Consider the following 21,338-nt stretch of genomic DNA (forward strand, 5'->3'; position numbering starts at 1 on the left):
CTTATTTCTGCTCTATACTGACAGCAGTGAGAAATATTAGTTGACATCTGACAGCAAGGAATGTGACAAACCACTAAAAAACCAGGTTCCCAAACTAGAAAGTACACTAGTTTGGTGCCATTGAATAGAGGGCGGATGTAGTCCCTTGGGGCATTACGGTGCAGTCATTAATGTTCATGACATGGACTCTAAGCTATCAAGAAAAGATTATGTTTGATATAGTATATATAAGAACCCAGGTTCATAAAACAATTTAGAAAGATTTTCATGCACATCGTTATTCATATTTTTTTAAATTAAGGCTTATAGGAGTATGGTGGAGCCAGTTCAGGCTTCAGAGTCATACCTTAATTTTGGGTGAGACAAATCCCCAGGCTTGGTTTCTTTGAGTGTTGGTTTTCTATCGCTCCATAACAAACTTCTAAAAACTGAGCAGCTTCAAATGATACCCATTGATTACCTCGTAGTTTCTGTAGATCAGAAGTCTCACAGCATAGCTGGGTTCTCTGGTTAGGTGTCCTTAGGCTGAAATCATGGTGTCAGCTGGGGTTGTGGTCTTACCTGAAGTTTGGGGTCTTCTTCCAAGCTGCCTGATTGTTGACGTTCAGTTTCTTGTAGTTGTGGGACTGAGTCCCCCACTTCCTTGCTAGCCATCAACTGGGGACATTCTCTGCTAGAGGCTGTCCTCCGCTCCCTGCCACATGGCCTTCTCCACAACATGGCAGTTTGCTCCTTCAAGGCCAGCAGAAGAGTCTCTCTGATGTTTCACCATTTTTTTTTTAGAGACTCATCTGATTAGGTCAGGCTCACCAAGGATCATCTCCCTTTCAGTTAACTAAAAGTCAAAATCACAGGAATGATATCCCAACATATTCATTGGTCCCTTCCACACTTAGAAGAGGGGATTATACAAGGAGCTTACACCAGGGGGCAGATATATCTTGGGGTTCCACCTACCACAGCCATTGTAAAGGGAAAGGTATCTACCTATATGATTGTTATAAGGATTGTGAAGTCTTTACCACACAGAAGGCACCTGCTAAATGTTGGTTTCCTTACCTCTCTGCTCCCACCTTTTACCTTGCAGGTATATAATGTGTGTCTGTTGAATCAACTGGGTTTGAATGGCCTTAATCAGAGAGAGATGAGGCCTCACAAGAATTCCTACAGAGGGGCGGGGCTGGGGTGACCGCTACCTGACTATCAGCCTTACCTTCACTGACTTTCACCTTTTCTTGGCAGGTGGGCATGAAGACTTTTCAAAAATGATTGATGAAGCTGAGCCCCTGGGCTACCCAGTCGTGGTGAAGAGCACACGAGGCCACCGGGGTCAGTGCCACCTCTCCAGGGCTTCCTGGGTAATCAGCCCACTAGGGCTGCTGCTCTGCCTGGACAAGACACTCCTCAAGTGCTGCTTAGAAAAATGGAGCTCCCCTTTGAGGAGCTTGCAGTGTTTCTTTCTCTTTGTCCTCTGTTCTTGCTTTTGTCAGATCATGCTCACCTCTTCCCTGAACTATTGCAATCAACTCCTGACTTAATGCTGATCAGTTTCCCTAACTCCACTGCCAGTGCCTCTTCTGTTCTTTTTTTGAAGTAATTTCTCTGAAACATAGATCTGTTCTTGTTACTCTCTCACTGAAAAACCCTCCCAAGACCCTGTGCCGCCTATTAGACAGAGTCCATATTCCTCATCATGAAACTGAAGGCCCTGTACAAACAGCCTCAGCCTTCCCTTGCAGCTGTCTCTGGCCACATGAACCTTTCATAATCCATTCCAGACTACTTCTCATTCACCAAGTAGACCGTGCATTTTCCCCTCTTTAAGCGTCTGCTCTTTTCCCTTTGCTGAGAATGCCATCTTTCTCTGCTCACTTGGTCAACTTCTTCTGCTCATCCTTTAAGGCCAGCTCCAGATGTCATTTCTTTTCTGCACACATTCCCTGATCTCCCTCCCTGTCTTCCAGACAAAATTAATTGCTCTTCCCTTTTTGTTTCCATAGCATTTTGTATGTGCCTCTAGCAGAGTGCTATACTTTGTAACAGTTACAGGTTTATATGCCTCCTTTCTTTACTAGACTGCGAGCTGCTCATTGGTGGGGACCAGATCCTGAGCATCTGTCTCTGTAAGGCTTACTGTAGTGCTCAGTGCATCGCTGGGACTCAGTAGGGACATCAGCAACAGAAAGGAGTCTTCCTGCAGTATATGAGCAGGTGCCTCATCGGGATACCCAGGTGGCATGCTTAAACACTCCAGGCATCTGGAGTGAGGGAAGGTCACCCTAAATAGATACATAGTGAGCAACTACTATGGTGTAGGGACTATGCAATAGAAATGAACTAGACAGCACTCTATCCTGGGCGACAGAGTGAGACCATGTCTCAAAAAACAAAAAAACAAAAACAAACTAGACCCAGTCACTGATCTCGAGGCGCTCAAATGTGTAGACACAGTTGCATTGCAGGGTGATCATCACTGATATAGCAAGTATGCCCAGGGGTCTGTTTAAGCCTACAGGAGGGAGGGGACAATTCTGCCATGAAGTCTTCACTGGAAGAAAAGCAGACTTCAGTGGATGTGTAGAATTTGAATTGGCGGAAGTGAGTGAGCAACACACAGAAGCAAGGGTAGGCAACGCAACCAGTGAGCATAGATGAGTCGTGTTGAGGAGCAGAGAAAGGAGCCTGGGTGGCAAAGTGGGACTCTTAGTGCGATGCAGATGTGCTACTGAGCTCAATTTCAACCAGCCTTTCAACTAGTCATTTTTATTGTGGTAAAATACACATAAAATTCACATATTTATTGAGTGTCTACAAAATGCCAGGCACTATTCCAGGCTTTGGGGATACAGATAAAAACAAAAGTTCCTGCCCTCGAGTAGCTTACGTTGTAGAAAGGTAAGACAGCAAACAGAAATTAAATATACATAATGTTTTGGAAATCAAAAAAATGAAAATACAATTCACATAAAAAATTTAACAGTGCAAAGCGTAAAATTCACTGGATTTTAGTGTACTCACTGTGTTTTACAACTATTACCACTACTTAATTTCAGAACATTTCCATCACCCCCAAAAGAAGCCTCATACCTAGTAGTAGTTAGTCCCGATTGCCTCTCCCTCAGTCCCTGGCAACCACTGACCTATTATTAATAATACTTTCTGTTACTATAGATTTGCCTGTTTTGGCTATTTTATATGAATGGATTTATACAGTATGTGGACTTTTGTGTCTGGCTTCTTTCACTTAGCATGATGTTTTCAAGGTTCATCTATGTTGTAGCAAGTAACACTAGTTTATCTCTTTTTGTGACTTAATAATATGACTGTTGTATGGCTGTACCACATTTTACATTTCCACCAGCAATGTTTGAGGGTTCCAATTTCTCCATATCCTCACCATCACTTGTTATTTGTTATGTAAGTATGTATGTATGTATGCTTATTATAGCTATCTAGTGAGTGTGAAATGGTATCTCATTGTGGTTTTGATTTGCATTTACCCAAAGACTAATGATGTTGAACATCTTTTCATGTGCTTGTTGGCCATTTGTGTATCTTCTTTGGAGGAATGTTTTTTCATATCCTTTGCCCACTTTTTAACTGGGTTTTTAATCTTTTTATTGTCGAGTTTGAAGGGTTCTTGTATAATGTAGATTCTTTTTTTTTTTTGAGATATGCTCTCGCTGGACTGCAATGGTGCGATCTTGTCTCACTGCAGCCTCTGCATCCTGGGCTGAAACGATCCTCCTGCCTCAGCCTCCCAAGTAGCTGGGACTATAGGCATGCGCCACCATGCCTGGCTGATTTTTGCATTTTTTATAGAGATGAGATTTTGTCATGTTGCCCAGGCTGGTCTCAAACTCCTGGACTCAAGCCATCCACCCACCGCAGCCTCCCAAAATGCTGGGATTACAGGCGTGAGCCACTGCACCCAGCCGTATAATGTAGATTCTAAATCCTTATTAGATATATAACAACATGTTTGAACATGTTTTTCACATTCCCATAGGTTGTCTTTTCATTTCTTGATATAGTATCTTTGATGCACAAAAGTTTTTTATTTTGGTAAAGTCTAACTTGTCTATTTTTTTTTGTTTCCATATGCTTTTGATGTCATTTTGTGCTTGCCTAATCCAAAGCCACACAGACTTACATTTATGTTGCCTTCTAAAAGCTTCATAGTTTTAGCCCTTACCTTTGAGTCTTTGATACATTTTGAGTTAATTTTTATGTATGGTATGAGGTAGGGGTTCAACTTGATTCTTTTGAATGTGGATATCCAGTTTTCCCAGTACCATTTGTTGAAGAGCCTGTTCATTCCCCCACTAAAAGCTGTTAGAACCCTTGTCAAAAATCAGCTCACCATGTGCGTGAAGGTTGATTTCTGGGTTCTCAATTTTATTCTTTTGATATAGTTCTATATGCCAAGCCACACTGTCTTGATTACTGTAACTTTATAGTAAGTTTTGAGATTGGACCCTTTTTCCCTCAAATGGGATTAACCATCCTTGTTATAATGGCTTCCTAGGGCTAGCATGAAGTATAAGTGAAATAATAAAAAATCAAACTGCTTGGCACTTAGTACATGATTAACCAATCTTACTGCCTTTCTCTCCTTTTTTCCTTCTTGCCTTAAAACTGTGGCTCCTTTATTAACTGCAGACTGACCCCCATATTAGAACTTCTGTACCCGAAACCAAGAAACCCAGTTCCTATCTCTAGCCCCCATCTCTGCTGAAAATCCTACCTAATGTCCGGAGAACCCAGTGCATATACCTGAATCCCAGCCATCTGTTGCCAGAAGCCAGATCTCCAGATCTCCTGGCATCAGATGTGTATCTGCTTGCCCCACACTCATTGATTGAAGACAGGGAACACTGATGCTGCATCGTCCACACTTGCTGGGGCCTCTCCATTTTCCTCTTGTGACCCCTTGCTGGGCCCTATCCAGCTTCCCTGACATTGACACCCACTTACCTGCACACTCTCCTGTCACCTGCCATGTGGACATCTTCAGATCACGTGGCTGAACTCCTCCAGCTCTGTCAGGTGTCTAGGATCCAGTCATCTTGGGAATGATTGCATCCTGGTTATAACATGTTTTGGAATTTACTTTTCAGTTTTATGTACCACTAGGGACTGGTGTATTTGTTTGTTTGTTTGTTTTTGAGATGACGTTTTGCTCTTGTTGCCCAGTCTGGAGTTCAATGGCGCGATCTTGGCTCACCGCAACCTCTCTGCCTCCCGAGTTCAAGCGATTCTCCTGCCTCAGCATCCCAAGTAGCTGGGGTTATAGGCATGCACCACCATGCCCAGCTAATCTGGTATCTTTAGTAGAGATGGGGTTTCTCCATGTTGGTCAGGCTGGTCTTAAACTCCTGACCTGAGGTGATCTGCCCGCCTCAGCCTCCCAAAGTGCTAGGATGTCAGGCGTGAGCCACTGCACCTGGCCTGGGACTGGTCTTTTTATTAGGACTTCAGAAGAGTTCCAGTCCTTGTAAGATGGTGACACAAAGCTTAGGAAAACCATCTCTTTGTTCCATATTTGCTGAAAAGAATGTTCAGACTGGGCATGCTCATGTCAGATTTGCAGAGCAAACTTATCAGAACCTCTGCTCAGGTCTGTTAACTAATATATCAATGGAAAAGCTGATGTTGGCCGGTTATGGTGACTCACACCTGTAATCCCAGCACTTTGGGAGGCTGAGGCAGGCAGATCACTTGAGGCCAGGAGTTCGAGACCAGCCTGGCCAACATGGTGAAACCTCATCTCTACTAAAAATACAAAAATTTGCTAGGCATGCGTGCCTGTAATCCCAGCTACTCCAGAGGCTAAGGCAGGAGAATTGCTTGAACCCGGGAGGTGGAGGTTGCAGTGAGCCAAGATCGCGCCACTGCACTATAGCCTGGGTGACAGAGCGAGACTCTGTCTCAAAAAAAAAAAAAAAAAAAAAAAAAAAAAAGCTGATGCTAAATAATTACAAAAGTGTAGGCAATTTGAACAGAAAATAAAGAATTTAGAATCAAGAAGGAATGCTTTCTGCAGAGATCAATAGAGGCATAGGCCATTCCTTTCAGAATTAAATGGGTATAGCCAAATAATAACTTTATGTCTAAAAGGAAGGATGTCTGTCAGTGCTTCCCTCCTTTGAGCTCCCACAGAATTATGCATAGACCTCTGTTGATGTTATATCACTCTGTGCTACCTTTTTTTGGGATCTCTCTCCATCTAGACTTGGAATTTCTCTAAAGTATTTTCAACAAATTATGTTCTACAAACATTAATTGGCATCTGCCCTGTGCATCCAGCCCAGTGTTAGGTCTGAAGAATTTTTTTAAAATGAGTTAGATGTGGATCCTGCCTAATCAGCATCCTGGGGGTGATGGGAGATGCTAATTAACTGTTTTGGGCACTGAATTGATTAGATCTTTGGATTCTATTTTGGCTCTTTCTCTGTGTTCCTGGAATAATCATTAAGTCATTTCAAAAAGAGTGATGGTGGAGGGAGAGGGTATTAGGACCTGAGGAAAGTTAAGGGAAAGTAAGGTTCTGTGGTCATTTGATAAGAAACAAAAGTCTAGCAGAGAAATAGAAGGGACCAAAGTGAGGCAAGTTTAGAAAGAACTGATGACTTTATGGACAAGGAGGCCAGATGGCAAGTACAGAGTCCAGAGGCTTCTCTAACCCCTTCTCTTGCTCTTTTTCTTCTTAAAGGAAAAGCTGTTTTTCTGGCAAGAGATAAACATCACCTCTCTGACATCTGCCATCTGATCCGCCACGATGTGCCCTACCTGTTCCAGAAGTACGTGAAGGAGTCCCATGGAAAGGACATCCGGGTGGTGGTGGTAGGGGGCCAGGTCATAGGCTCTATGCTTCGCTGCTCCACTGATGGACGGATGCAGAGCAACTGCTCTCTCGGTAAGGTATAAAAGCACAGGGTTTTATTAGGGTATTTGGACCCATTCAGCAAATGTATATCGATCCCTACTGTCTTGTCAGACCCTCTGCTAGACACCAGGATCTCACAGATGAGAATGAGGAACAAACTCTTTCCTATGGCAGCAAGCAATCCTGGAGGGGAGCGTACAAGTGTAAGCGCTGTGGCAGAGGTCAGGCAAGGAGTGTCAGGACATGGAGGACTGAACGCTGTCCTCTAGGTGTTAAGACTTAAAAAGGGAGTGACATGAGGACCAACGTTGGAGAAAAACTCCCATCTGGGTAAAGGATGGAATGATGGCATAAGATGGGAGGCAGGGAGATGAGATTTGAAGCTGTTGCAACAGCTCAGGCAAAAAAAATAATAAGAGTCTAAAGTGATGACAGGAGAAATATATTTTCCTTTTATATTTTAATGGAAATGTTTTCCTTTTTGTATGATGTTATTAGAAAGCTACAGTTTATGCTTTGGTCGAATGCATAAACCCATCCCATTAACCCATTGATAAAGTTTGTTATCTGTTGTACTGAATGGAGATACTTCAAGAGGGATGTAAGTTCTTGTCCCCATCACAGAAAGCTATTGTCAACCTCACTGAATGAGTTTATATGTTGGTGATAGGAAAAAAAAAATCACAATCACTAGTTATTATTTCCTAAATCACCATATGAGTATACCAAGTCCAGTGACTAATAAAGAGGCTTAGACACTGTCTGGCACTTCTTTCATTGATAGTCATTGAGCATTTCCAGGAACAGATTATGTGTTGGATGCCGGGAATGTAGAGATGATGAGAGAGCCTTTGCCCTCAGGTAGCACGTGGTCCCATAAAGAAGACATGGGCCAGTTGTGGTGGCTTATGCCTGTAATCCCAGCATTTTGGAAGGCCAAGGCAGGAGTATCACTTAAAGCCAGGAGTTTGAGACCAGCCTGGACAATAAAGTGAGACCCCATCTCTACAAATTTTTTTTTTAAAGTTAGCCAAGTGCAGTAGCACATGCCTGTAGTCCCAGCTGAACTCATGAAGCTGAGGTGGGAGGATCCTTTGAGCCCAGGAGTTTGAGGCTGCAGTGAGCTATGATTGTGCCATAGCACTCCAGCCTGGGCAACAGAGTGAGACCCTATCTCTTAAAAAAAAAAAAAAGAGAGATAATTATAAGATAATTGTGATAAAGTGATGTGTTGGTGTCAAATGCTAGATTCAGGTTGACACACTACTAAGTACCTTACATGTTATCTCATTTTCTTTTTTTTTCTTTTCTTTTCTTTTTTTTGAGACAGTCTTGCTCTGTTGCACAGGCCAGAATGCAGTGGCGTGATCCCAGCTCACTGCAACCTCCGCCTCCCAGGTTCAAGCAATTCTCATGTCTCAGCCACCCGAGTAATTGGGATTATAGGTGTGTACCACCACACCTGGCTGATTTTTGTATTTTTATTTTTATTATTTATTTATTTATTTATTTATTTATTTATTTATTTATTTTTGAGACAGAGTCTCGCTCTGTCACCCAGGCTGGAGTGCAGTGGCACAATCTCCGCTCATTGCAAGCTCTGCCTCCCCGGTTCACACCATTCTGCCTCAGCCTCCCGAGTAGCTGGGACTACAGGTGCACACCACCATGCCCGACTAACCTTTTGTATTTTTAGTGGAGACAGGGTTTCACCGTGTTAGCCGGGATGGTCTCGATCTCCTGACCTTGTGATCTGCCCGCCTCGGCCTCCCAAAGTGCTGGGATTACAGGTGTCAGCCACCACGCCCAGCCCATTTTCATGATCATGCTTAGTGCCAAAGTGTTGAACCTTGTGTGTGTGTTATCATTTTGACTTTTTTAGTTACCTTACAAAATCCATTCATTAGTAACCACGTGGCTTTATAATTTATCCATGTTGCTTTTCTTGGTGAGCTGTTTTAAAACCGTTTTATAGCCTTTTTTAGATACAGTGTCATAGGTGGGAAGGGACATTGTTAAGGTAAAGACACTAGTTATTCGACCTGAGAATACAATTCTTAAATCTTTCCAAGGAGACTAACTGGAGAGAAATCTGAAGTCCTAGCTTTTTAGCAAAGTAAGGGGAATTGGTCTCTGTCCTTGGTACAGGATTTTGTCTCAGTCCTTTCCATATCTCTCTCTCTCTTTTTTTTTGGTCCATTGAGGCATTTTATTTATAAATATTAATATCTATTACATCCCTAGAAAAATAATCCCAGGATTTTCCCACCTGTGTATTTTCATCTTACTTCTTCACAGGCCATGATGGCCATGATGCCAGCTGAGGTTGTCAGTACAGTGAAACCAAACTGATGGAATGGGAGCAGATTATTCTGCCATTTTTCTAGATCTTCAAATTGCACATCAGACTGGGGCTGTTCACTCCCCACTTGTTTAACCTGCCTGTGAGGTTCACAACAATTTTCCCAGCTCTGTGATCATCAGTGATTTCAGATTTGCCAACGTAACTATGCTTTGTCATCAGTTAGAAACCAGATGATGACTTTGGAGCATGGCCTAATAAGAACCTGGCGTTTGCCTCTTTTTGGCTTTGGTGATGCTCTTGAGAGCATCAGCCAGGACATTGACATGCATCATTCTGTCAGCACAGAAAGACGGAAGAAGGAGCCATCTCTCTTCTTAAAAATCAATAAATTGGCCAGGTGTGGTGGCTTACCCCTGTAATCCCAGCACTTTGGGAGGCTGAGGCGGGCAGATCACAAGGTCAAGAGATCGAGATCATCCTGGCCAAGGTGGTGAAACCCCGTCTCTACTAAAAATACAAAAATTAGCTGGGCGTGGTGGCATGTGCCTGTAGTCCTAGCTACTTGGGAGGCTGAGGCAGGAGAATCGCTTGAACCCGGGAGGCGGAGGTTGCAGTGAGCCGAGATCGTGCCATTGCACTCCAGCCTGGGCGACAGAGTGAGACTCTGTCTCAAATAAATAAATAAATAAATAAGTTAATTTTATTTGTTCTAATCATGAGAAGAATACATTCTCAGTGTAGAAAATTCGGAAAATATGGCCGGGCGCAGTGGCTCACACCTGAAATCCCAGCACTTTGGTAGGCCAAGACAGGTGGATCACCTGAGGTCAGGAGTTCGAAATTAGCCTGGCCAACATGGTGAAACCCGTGTCTACTAAAAATACAACAATTAGCTGGGTGTAGTGGCGGGCGCCTGTAGTCCCATCTACTCGGCAGGCTGAGGCAAGAGGAGAATTGCTTGAATCCAGGAGGCGGAGGTTGCAGTGAGTCAAGATCACACCACTGCACTTCAGCCTAGGTGACAGAGTAAGAGTCTCTCAAAAAAAAAAAAAAAAAAAAAAAGAAAGAAAAAAGAAAATTTGGGAAATACAGCAAAGTCAAATGAAAAAGGTATTTATCGTCCCCACCATTTAGAGACAACTACTGTTAATATTTTGGTGTCATATTCTTTACAGTCTTTTCTTCTGAGAAATCTCTTTTTGCCTAGTTATAGTCATATTGTATAGTCTTTAATCCCCTGTTTTCCCATGTAATTACAAGCTGTCTGTGGGCATTATTATTTGTTTTTGGAACAGGGTTTTACTCTGTCATACAGGCTGGCGTGGAGTGGCATGATCATGGCTCACTGTAGCCTCAAACTCCTGAGCTCTAGGGTTCCTCCCACCCCAGCCTCCCAAGTAGCTGGAACTGCAGCTGGGGTGGGAGGAACCCTACAGCGAGCCACCATACCCACCTAGTTTTATTTTTATTTTTTTGTAGAGATGGGGTCTCACTGTGTTGCCCAGCCTGGTCCAAACGCTTGGCCTCAAGCAATCCTCTCACGTCAGCCTCCCAAAGTGCTGGGATTACAGGCGTGAGTCACTGCACCCAGCTGGTATTATTATTAATGGCTGTAAAATACACTGTTTTTCTCTATTGTGAGAGATTTAGATTATAATTTTTCATTTCTTCATTCAATATTTATTGAATATTTATTAAGTGCCCATCATGTACCTGGCTCCATGATTTGTATTTTAAATAATACTGCCATCAACATCTTTGTGCATAAAGCTTTTTTTCCCCCATATATAAGATTATTTCCTTGGTAGTAGGATGGCTGAGTCAGAGGAAATCAGCATTTTTAAGACTAGATAAAAAATGGCCGTATTGTTTTCCCAAGGTGTACTGATTTCCATCCAGACCTTTTGTGATTAATGATCGAGCCTCTCTTTCTGCCCCTCCTGGGCAGATCCCTGTCTCTTCTTTGAAGAGTCATCTGACTTCTCAGTTGTCACCTTTACATCACTGTGCTTTCCCCACAGGTGGCGTGGGCGTCAAGTGTCCGCTGACAGAACAAGGCAAGCAGTTGGCTATTCAGGTGTCCAACATCCTAGGCATGGACTTCTGTGGCATTGATCTCCTTATCATGGACGATGGCTCCTTTGTGGTGTGTGAGGCAAATGCTAATGTTGGCTTCCTAGCCTTTGACCAGGCATGCAACTTAGATGTGGGTGGGATCATTGCAGACTATACCATGTCCTTGCTGCCAAATAGGCAGACTGGAAAGATGGCTGTCCTCCCAGGACTGTCGAGTCCAAGGGAGAAGAACGAGCCGGATGGCTGTGCTTCAGCTCAGGGAGTTGCAGAGAGCGTCTATACCATCAACAGTGGGTCTACCTCTAGTGAAAGTGAGCCTGAACTGGGAGAGATCCGGGATTCCTCAGCAAGCACAATGGGGGCCCCACCCTCCATGCTGCCCGAACCTGGCTACAACATTAACAACAGGATTGCTTCTGAGTTAAAACTTAAGTGAATTCCTGCTTTTTGGCAGCATTTAAACCAAATCCTACTGCTTCCCTAGTAGTTTTGAGTGAATAAAATCTGGACTAATGTGATTTCATTTGCACAGAAACTAGAAATCCCATCTGGGCACTCAGCATTTTTTCTAACGATGATTTAAGCAAATGGCCTAGCTTTGTGGTTTTTACAAAGACAAATATAAAAACACTCAAGAACAACGTCCCGACTGATCAGTATGAGACTGATGTCTGCTGTGAGCACGTGGATATTACGGCTGACGCTAAGGCACTGACTCTGCTGTTGCTTCTGACTTTTAGCAGTAGAACCCATTAGCTCAAAATGGCTCTTGGAATTATGTACTCAAAAGCAACCACGGGATGGAAGCATGTGCAGACGAGGTGGAATGTGACTGCAGTAATAGGTTCTTCACTAAGTGTGTGTGTGATGCTTGGAAAAGACACAGTTCAAACACTATTAGAGGATCGATCTCTGCTCCCCATCAATCACCATCTTGACCATATTTCTCCGACACTCAGGATATGGTGTTTTAGGGAGCTTCCTCATTAGCATTTTCAGTGAAGCACTTTGTAGAAAGTGAGATTGAACGTTCTTTGACTTCACAGGTTGGCAAATGTCCTGCTTTGTAACTGGGCCTTTCTACAAATTGCTTTGCCACTCTGAATTTATAGACCCTGCTTCAACTAACGTCAGCTCTAGCAGCTTCTTGCACCTTTGCTGCCTTTGGCCTCAGCTGGAAATGCACTTCAATGAGCTAGTGGCCACTCAGTTTATTTCTTAAGCGTGCACTAGAATCTAACACCATGGACTTTGTTTTTCAATGGACTCTGTTCACTTGTCATCCAGAAGCCAGTGGGTTTTTACCATAGAAAGCTACTTGGAGATCATCATTCTTCCCCTCCTCTACTGAAACTTTGTGTACTGCTTAGCTGTAGGGGGTTTTCTTGTATGAGTGGGTGTTGGAGGTCTATTGAGTAGATGGGAGCCATTGGAAACACTCCAATCCCCTTGAAACTCTACTTTTATCTAAGATCCAGACACCTGTCCTTACCCACTTTTCCAAACGGGGAAGACTCAGGTATCAGGAATTACCCATTGCACATTTTGCGGGGGGGGGGGCTAATGTAGACATGACACCAAGTGCTTTTCATTTTAATTCTCTAAGCAGTAGATGAGATCTTTCCCTTGGGAGAAATCACAGAGATGGAGTTTTCCATTTCTGCTTATACGAAATATGACTGAAAATGAACAAAGCCACCTTTTTAACCAAATACACTAGAACATATGCACTCAAGAGTTAGCATAATTGGAGTTATTTTCTTGATGTTGCATGTGCCAAGAACACTTAGGGTTCCCCTTTGGGATTACCTTTGAAGCCATGCAAGGCAAGAGGCCTCACAACTTTATAGTCAGACCTTGTGTTTTATCCAACCCCTCCTCCTGCCCACCAAGATCATCCTGAGCTGCTTCACCCATTTTATTTAGCAGACTTATTTTCTAATGCTCTTTAGCTGTTAAAAAAAAAAAATCATTCCTCAAAAAATAGATCTACCCTTAAAGGACAAAGATTTACCAACACTGAAGACCCTTACAAGTTGACAGTTTCTAAAGAGGGTTCTAGGAATGTTCTGTGTAAGGTCAGCTTCACTGGAATAAACATACATCTTCCCAAGGTGACTACTTCAAAGGCAACACTACCCATTCGGGTGCAGAAATTACCGTACTTACTCTGCCATAAATGTAAAATGTGTATAAAGTTAAGCTATTGCATTTTTTCATAACACATTTAAATAGAAATTGGCTTTTAAAGTATTGTAGTTAAAACCAGATCTCACCAAGTAATAGTTGTGCAATTGACAAATGTTTGGTGCCATGTAATGGAGATGTCACACTACACAGTTGTAGTTTAAATGCAGTCCAACATAAGGTGCATGCCACTGAACTGTAACCCTAGTAATGTGTCTTGTACAGTTGAAAAATAATACTTCACCTTTATATAGGTTAAGATATGTACCTTATCTTTACCACTCAGGGTGGCTTTAAAAGACGGACAGCTTTAGGTTTGTTCTCACTGGAACTGGTTACACTTTCTGTGCAAACTTAACCAAGTGATGATCGTCTGGAAGCTGCATTCCCTCATTTCCACTGTTTGGTGTGAATCTAGTCTCCCCACTTTATCTAAAAGGAGGCTAGCAGGGCCCCAGCCTGAGCAGAGCAGCTAGAGAGTGCTTCCAGATTCCTTTGCCAAAGGAGGCCCATTTTCCAGCTGTGAGTGACATCTGTAGTCATTGGCTTCATTGCCTGGCACTAGCCCTGTCTAGAAGTGGAGAAAGCTGGATCACAGCTGGACCACAACCAGCCCCAATCCAGGATTTCCCATACCATGCTGGCTGTGGGCTCTGTGAGCCTCAGCCAGGTGGCCAGGCTATACTTGTCACAGCTGGCCACAGGCCTGCTGAAGGAACATGGGGTGTAGAGCCAGAGCCTGGTTCTGGTTCTCCGCTTGAACAGCTGACCTCGTGCAATCACAGGAACTCTGCGTCTCCATGTTTCACTCAGATAGAGAAAATGCCTCCTTTGTTTACCTCTTTGAAGCTGAAGTAAGTGAGACTGGTGCATGTAAATTAATGGTAGTAGAGCACCTCCCACATCTGATTTTATAACAGTTTCCCATCACTCCTTAAAGAAAAAGGCCAGGCCGGGCGTGGTGGTTCACGCCTGTAATCTCAGCACTTCGGGAGGCCGAGGCGGGTGGATCATGAGGTCAGGAGATTGAGACCATTCTGGCTAACACAGTGAACAAAAAATTAGTCGGGCATGGTGGCGGGCGCCTGTAGTCCCAGCTACTTGGGAGGCTGAGGCAGGAGAATTGCTTGAACCTTGGAGGTGGAGGCTGCAGTGAGCCAAGATTATGCCACTGCACTCCAGCCTGGGTGACAGAGCGAGACTCCGTCTCAAAAAAAAAAAAAAAAAGCCACACATTCTTGGCATTAGCACACCAAACAGTGGTAGGGTACCCTGAGAAAGGAATGCAGCTTCTCAGAGGCCTCACTTCCAGCCAGGGAAACTTAAGACCTGAAAGGAATAAGGCTCTTTGTGTATTCAGACAGCCTTCTGGATGTATCGTATATAACCTGAAACTCTCCACTCTTGTATACCAACTAACAAAGTCTTCCTTATGTAACATAGATTGCAGTGTCTGTATATGGTCTTCCCATTATCTGGTAGTAGCATCTTGAAACTGGTCAAAACTTGAATGCCAATAGCTCAGTCACTCAGAATATACGATTCTGCACTTGGGAAAAATGTCTTCATGCTGTTTTTCTGATCGGGTATGGGGTTGCCAGAATGAGGATTTGGGGCTTTAGGTCTTTCGGATCTCAGAAACAATATAAGTAGATCATAAGCCACTAGTGTCACAATTTCAGGCCCATTGCTTCCAGCTAAAAGGAGATTCCATGACCATGGGGACCAGGAGAGGAGGAAAGGGAAAAGGGAAAGGTCTGGAATAGTTTTGTGAAAGAAATAAAAAATTGGGATGATTTGGAATTCTAGTAGGAAGGAGGAAAAAATGGCTCTTCTGTGGGCTGTTTTAATGAAAGAATCATGAATATGTATTGATCAGAGGTAGATGTCTTTGAAGCTGTTCTGCATAAAGATAATGAGATGCATGGATTTCCATCCACCCTGGAGAAGTGGGGGAGATGTGCTTCCTCCCTTCTTTAAATCCTGAGGAATGCTGGTCTTGAGAACACTGAATGCAAATCTGAGGAAGATGTAAGCGGCTGGCTGGGGAGTTTTAGGACCACCCAAATAAAAGCTGACCCTCCCAGAGGCTAATGAACCACAGTGCTGTGTGCAGGCATAGCCTTAGCAGGTCAGTTTAAGGAGTCAGGTCAGAGAATAAATCCAACCTTAGTCAAGTCACTACAGTTTAATATTTTCCTTTGCAACTGGAGGTAAGCCTGTTTGCCATTAGTCTGAGTGGATGTCTTGGGAAGGCCCCTGAAAATAGCCATATTTGTCACTGTCCCTAAAGTGAATGTTCATAGATCTGGGACTGTTTTTGACTGTACCTCTGAGACTCAAGATCAGGACAGATTGTTACTTTAAAATGTTACCTGGAAGACGATTCTTCTAAGGGCTATAATGTTATAATCTTTTCCTAAAACTAAATCATGCCTCCATTCCAGGTCTATGGCTAGACTCTGCAGCCCTCCCTCCTAAAACCACAGGGCTGAATGTGGAAACTTTCTTCTTTTAAGCCTTTCCATTTCCTTCTCTAGGTACAGCTCCTGTGCCAATATGCACTGTCTCAAGCCCTGTGCTGGCATTCCAACCTGGTTTGGTAATTTTGCTGTGAGGTTCATGTTCTCTGGGGCTCCAGGGCAACACTAAGAAAGTCGCTTATGATCCCCATTTGAGACCATGGAATTAGCATTTTGGAGACCAGTCTAGTCCCCCATTTCATAAGTAGGGAATCTTACTTAGTTCCAGAGGCCATGTTCACTTGCTAGTCAATAGCAAGGCTGGACTCAGGCAGTCTGATTCCTCATCCACTTTGGCATACTGCCAGAGGTAGCTCCATCCCTCCCTGGAATCTAGCACATGCTCCCATCCTGGGCCTACCCTCCGCCTCCTCCCCTTCTGATGAGCCTCTGTTCTGGATCAACACGGTGTTGATGTGCCAGCTGTCAAGGGTTCAGCACTTGGATGGCTTCTAGGTGAGAGCCCCAAAGGCATGTATATTTCCATGATGCAAGCTGGCTCATGGCCCGCACCGTCTTTAGACCAGCCAAGACCATTTAACTCTACCCCACACTTTCAGTGGTGGGATGTGAGGAAGAAAGCCCATGCCAAGCTAACTGAAAGCTTATTTGGCTCCAATTCGGCTGATGTTCCCTCACTGCAGAATGTCCTGGAAACCAAGGGTTTGCAGCTCCTAAACCTATTGCATTAGGCACACCCAAGAAGAAATCCTGTTCGATGCACATGCTCCAGTTTCAATCAGCAACAAGGTCAAAAGTTTCCCCCCACTTTCTGTTCCACAGTGCGTTCCCCTTGCAGCCAGACATTAGGCACAGATTCATCCCTATTGTAACCCAAATGTCAGCTGAGGGCTCCTTGCCTCTTGACATCCAGAGAGGTCTGATAACTGGGCTCTGTTTCTGAACCTCTAGATTTCTGTGATTTCTCAAAGACTTATATTTTTGCAGCCACTGCTGACTCCACACTTCTGCTACCTCATTTTAAATAGCGTCTTATCCCTGCAATGCATCAGCTGAGACATGAAGCTCAGTTTCCTCGCCCATTTCCACATAGCAAAATTCAAGCGAGTGAGTGTGTGTGCCTGCGTGTGTCTCAGTGACGTGGGAAGGAATGGCAGATGCTACAACAGTGCAGACTCGGCACCCCATTTATAGAATGTTCTTTTTATATACTATGGAGGAATCTCCACTCACCTTCCACTCCACGTGGTCCCTGTCTCCTGTCCTTGGGACAGAGCAGTTCCATTTATATTCTCACATACAACCAGATGGATAGCCATTCCTTTTCTTAATTTGATTCCTGCCAACACCCTAACCGTCATGACTTCACCTTTTACCATGGGTGGCTTATTAAAAACATTTTCCTGGACGAAGACAGTTCCCTCCCCAAGCGGAATTCGAGTGCCATCTCTTAAGGTGATGCATTTTTAATTCCCACTGCACAAGCCAGGCATCACAATGACCATATTCACCACTCGTTGTCAGGGGTACACCTTTTGGAAGGCAGCGTGGGCTAATGTGAATGGTACTAGTCTGAGTCAGATCCAGTTCAAATCCAGGTAACTTAAAGCTTGTGTGACCCAGGGACACTTTACTTCAACTTGTTAAACCTTAATTTTGTCACCTATAAATGTGATACATAAACAAACTTGAATGTGTCGCACTTAACCACATGCCTGGCTTTCCATAGGTTCCTTTCCTCTTGCTTCCCCCACTGTGAGCAACACAAGCATCGCCTTCTTGTGATCATGGCTCAGTGCCAAGGGATAAAAGCTGGCAGACAGCAGCTTTACAGCTGGGAAAAAGAGCTGCTGGGGGCAGGGCTGGCGGTAGCTCAAGCATGCTGTGGTTCAGGCTAATGACTGGAAGGTCCCATCCATCCTTGAGATTTTATGACGCTATGTGCAAGATCTAGCGAACGTATTTGGCTAAGAAAAATCCTGGAGGAGAGACTGCCTCAGACAACTGGGGGGCTGGAAAGCCGACCTGGAAAGCAGCCTGACCTTGGATGATTTAGCACCTGGGTTTTTTGGCTCTTCCTGTATTAGGTTTGCTGGCTTCGCATCAAATGGAAGGAGGTGGTGCCAGGGACGTGAATTAAACCTGTCAAATAGAGGGTGAGGGGAGTGCAGAAGGCTGGGGGAAGGAGGGGCTGTGTGGGGAACTCTGATAGTCTGACAGCACCATCTGGACTTGGCAGGGATGACAGCCCTGAGATCAGATGGAACTAACCAATAAAGCTGCTAAAATTCTGCTGTCCTGGGCCTATCCGGAGTGGGACTCCCGTAATCTCCTATTTAGAAGGAACACTGATCTGCAAGGGGAGAGCTGGGGCCCTTAATCATTCTGCAGAGCTGATAACGGTCACTGTGGAGGCAGGACTAGGCGGGTGCCTGGTTTGCTTAGTCCCACCTTGAGGTCCCGAGTTCCAGTGGTGTGCCGAAGTGGTTTGCACTGGCCCATGAGAGTGGATTGTTGAATTTCCAGGAATTTTGTAAGCTGGTTGGTAAACACAGCCACAGTGACCATTAGAGATTATATTAACCTGCAATTAAATAAAGTATGTTAAAAACAGTAATAAATACTCAAAACTCATCACTTCCTAATTATTTTACTATTATCTATGTTCTTGAGGATACTGACATCTATTGTATTGGTATGGTGTGCTACAATATAATGGCGTGCTATTGCACATCTCTTCCCAACCTGAACATTCAGTGACATCACATCAGTAGCTGGGGAATCGGCCCTATTGAGAGTATTTACACCACAGAGATTGGCAAACACTCTATATCAAGACCCCCCTCCCCGAGAGCTGGTTGTTAAACATTTGTCAGCACACCACTGCTGCTGGGAGACAGAGAGAAGAAACTGATACACGTGAGCACTGAAACATCTTAGTTCCAGGGAGGTAGCATTTGTGTTGTATTTCTCAGAAGCAAGTGTCCTAGTGTAATGTGCACAAGTGGCATGAAGTTTAACACCTAAAAGACTGCTTCTCTGCTTGTTCTGTCTAACTTCTGTGATTTCAACACTTGAGAAAGATGTTTACTTTGCTACTAAACTTATTGGAGTGATTTGTAAAGTTCACTGTCACCTGTGGGCAGTAGTTCAGCTAAATTCCCTCCAGGAAAGTGGACTGTAGCTTTTCCTGCCTAACTGGCAAAATGAAAATATGCTGAAAAGAATACATCTTAACTAGGCACCAGAATAGCTCATTTCCAAGTGGTTTATACAGCAATAACAGTGTTAACTTCTCCAACAGAGACGAAATCATTTATAAATGATTGTTTTGCTGTTTTTGCTTTTTATTAAAATTATTACTATGGAACAGAATGCTTTGTTTGCCTTTGTCTCCAAAATTCTGTGCCTTTTGGTGGTTCTTGTAAAGTAAGAATCACATGCTGAATCTACATTTTATTATTTTCATATCATAAAATGAGGAAGAGCCTTCACAGAAGAAACTTCACCCTATTCACTTGCACACCAGCTGCGTTCTGAAAAACTATAATTTTCCTTTCAAACGCAGAGTGCCGTCTGAATTGTAATACTGCCAACTCTCAACTGTCAAGATGATGGAGGAAAATACTAATGCAGATGGCGTGAGCTTGTCACGGGCCTGCTCAGCGTGCTCTCCCGGGCTGACATTCGAATTAAGATTCAAATAGCAAGTGAGAGCTGAAAGCTGTTTAAAATGGCTGTGTGGTGCAGTAAGGGGTCTCAGGGGATTGAAAGAATCTGTGTACTCACCAGAAGAACTCTGACAGGTCAGGCAGGGCCCTCAGGACTTGTGTTTGCCTGACATTTCAAGAGGCTTCCTGGGAGAAGCGGTGATAAGACCCTGGGGGACTAACAGTCAAAACAAGGCTCAAGACCCTTGAACTAAGGCTATTCCCCAGCTTCTGAGGGTCAGGGAGTCCAAATTGAGGTCAGAGCATCAAAGGGATAGTGCTTGATTGCTGCAGCCGAGGATGATTTGGGGTATGACATTATGTACCATTCATATTGTCCTTGAACCCAAACACTGGGGAATGTGGCCTATGTTTCTTTCTTCTTCTCTTACATGAAAATCGTCAAACTACACAAAAGTGGAGAGAATAGTAAACTCCCCAGAAAAGGACGTTTCCATTTGCCTTTACCACATATAAAAAGATTAGCAGTAATCCCTTGATACCATCTAATTCCCAGTCCGTATTCAAATTCCCCCATTGTCTCAAAGAGAACTGCATTTAGCTCCATGGTAGACCAGCGTATTTGGTGAGAAAGGAAGTACTTTGGAAAGGTTGCTGATGGCTTCCCTACCCTCTTGACGGTGGCTCTGGCAGAAACCATGCTGCAGGGGCACAGGTGGAGAGATGTTCAGGCTGGCTGCAGATGCCTTTCCAAGTTGTGGGATCTTGGGATTTCCTCTCCTCAAAGAATAAGCCTGTGACACTTCCCCTTCTACTTCCCAGAGTTACATGGTGTCCCTCTAGGACTCTCCCAGCTTCATGCTGCTGGCACCCACTTGTCTATCACGCTGGTATCCGCTGCTTTTCCTGCAGCTGCTGCTTTCACTAATGGCACTTCTTAAATCTGGTGAGAGGCTTCTCTCAAAAATGATCGCTCTTCCACTAACCTTAGGTCTACTGTACTCTTGGTGAATCACAGCTCTTTAGAGCTCCTCAAGGGCCTAAGCATCTTTTGTTAGAAAATTCTGGCTGAAATTCTCATGAGATGGGTCAGGGAACCTTGGAGTGGCAGCACTTGTGTCACATCTAAAGGCACTCCTCTGACTAAAGAGAAGTGGCAGCTGAGCACACTGCCTGCCCAGGGATTTTCTTCTGCTCTAAAGGACATTATTAAGACAACTGGTCTGTACTGTATTGCCTGATAGTATCATATCAATGTCAATTTCCTCATTTTGGTGATTGTTCTAATAAGAATACGTAAGAATGTGTCCTTGTTTTTAGAAAATACACATTAAATATCGAGGGATAGAGGTACATCATGTTTGCAATTTACTTTCAAATGGCTCAGAAAATAATGGGTTTCTAGAGAGAGAAAATAAAGCAAATGTGGTAAGATGTTAACATTTGGGAGATCTGGGTGAAAGGTATTATAGGAATTCTTTGCATGAGTAGGCTGAGTAAGTCTGAAATTACATCAGCCTCCTGTGCTGGGTTCACCTCCTCTCCATTAAATGTTGTTTCCTCCGGCATTTCCTTAGGCTTTCTGCTATTCCCTAGCTGCGGGTTTCATCCCTACATGATCTCCATTTGCTTGGTATTAATTACAACGTACATGATACTTTCAAATTTATCTCTGAACCCAGGCTTCTTTTCTTTTCTTTTTTTGTTTTGTTTTGTTTTGAGACAGA

General features: G+C 43.8%; 1 protein-coding gene and 1 pseudogene across 3 annotated transcripts in view; one reads left to right on the top strand and one right to left on the bottom strand.

Annotated features, from left to right (window-relative positions):
* Positions 1-20,964, top strand: part of RIMKLA (ribosomal modification protein rimK like family member A) — a 43,441-nt gene extending 22,477 nt beyond the window's left edge. For 2 of the 3 annotated variants that reach the window (XM_047418484.1, NM_173642.4), the window contains 3 exons: positions 1,243-1,329; positions 6,716-6,919; positions 11,216-20,964. In XM_047418484.1, coding sequence (XP_047274440.1) covers positions 1,243-1,329; positions 6,716-6,919; positions 11,216-11,706 — 782 coding nt within the window. In that variant the 3' untranslated portion in view covers positions 11,707-20,964. The remainder of the gene's footprint in view (positions 1-1,242; positions 1,330-6,715; positions 6,920-11,215) is intronic. The other variant, XM_006710585.4, reaches the window with a different exon arrangement.
* RPS15AP8 (ribosomal protein S15a pseudogene 8) lies at positions 9,084-9,556 on the bottom strand (annotated as a pseudogene).
* Positions 20,965-21,338: the final 374 nt, after the last annotated feature.

The sequence above is a fragment of the Homo sapiens genome, chromosome 1 (genome assembly GCF_000001405.40).
Source record: "Homo sapiens chromosome 1, GRCh38.p14 Primary Assembly".
Lineage (NCBI taxonomy): Eukaryota > Metazoa > Chordata > Mammalia > Primates > Hominidae > Homo > Homo sapiens.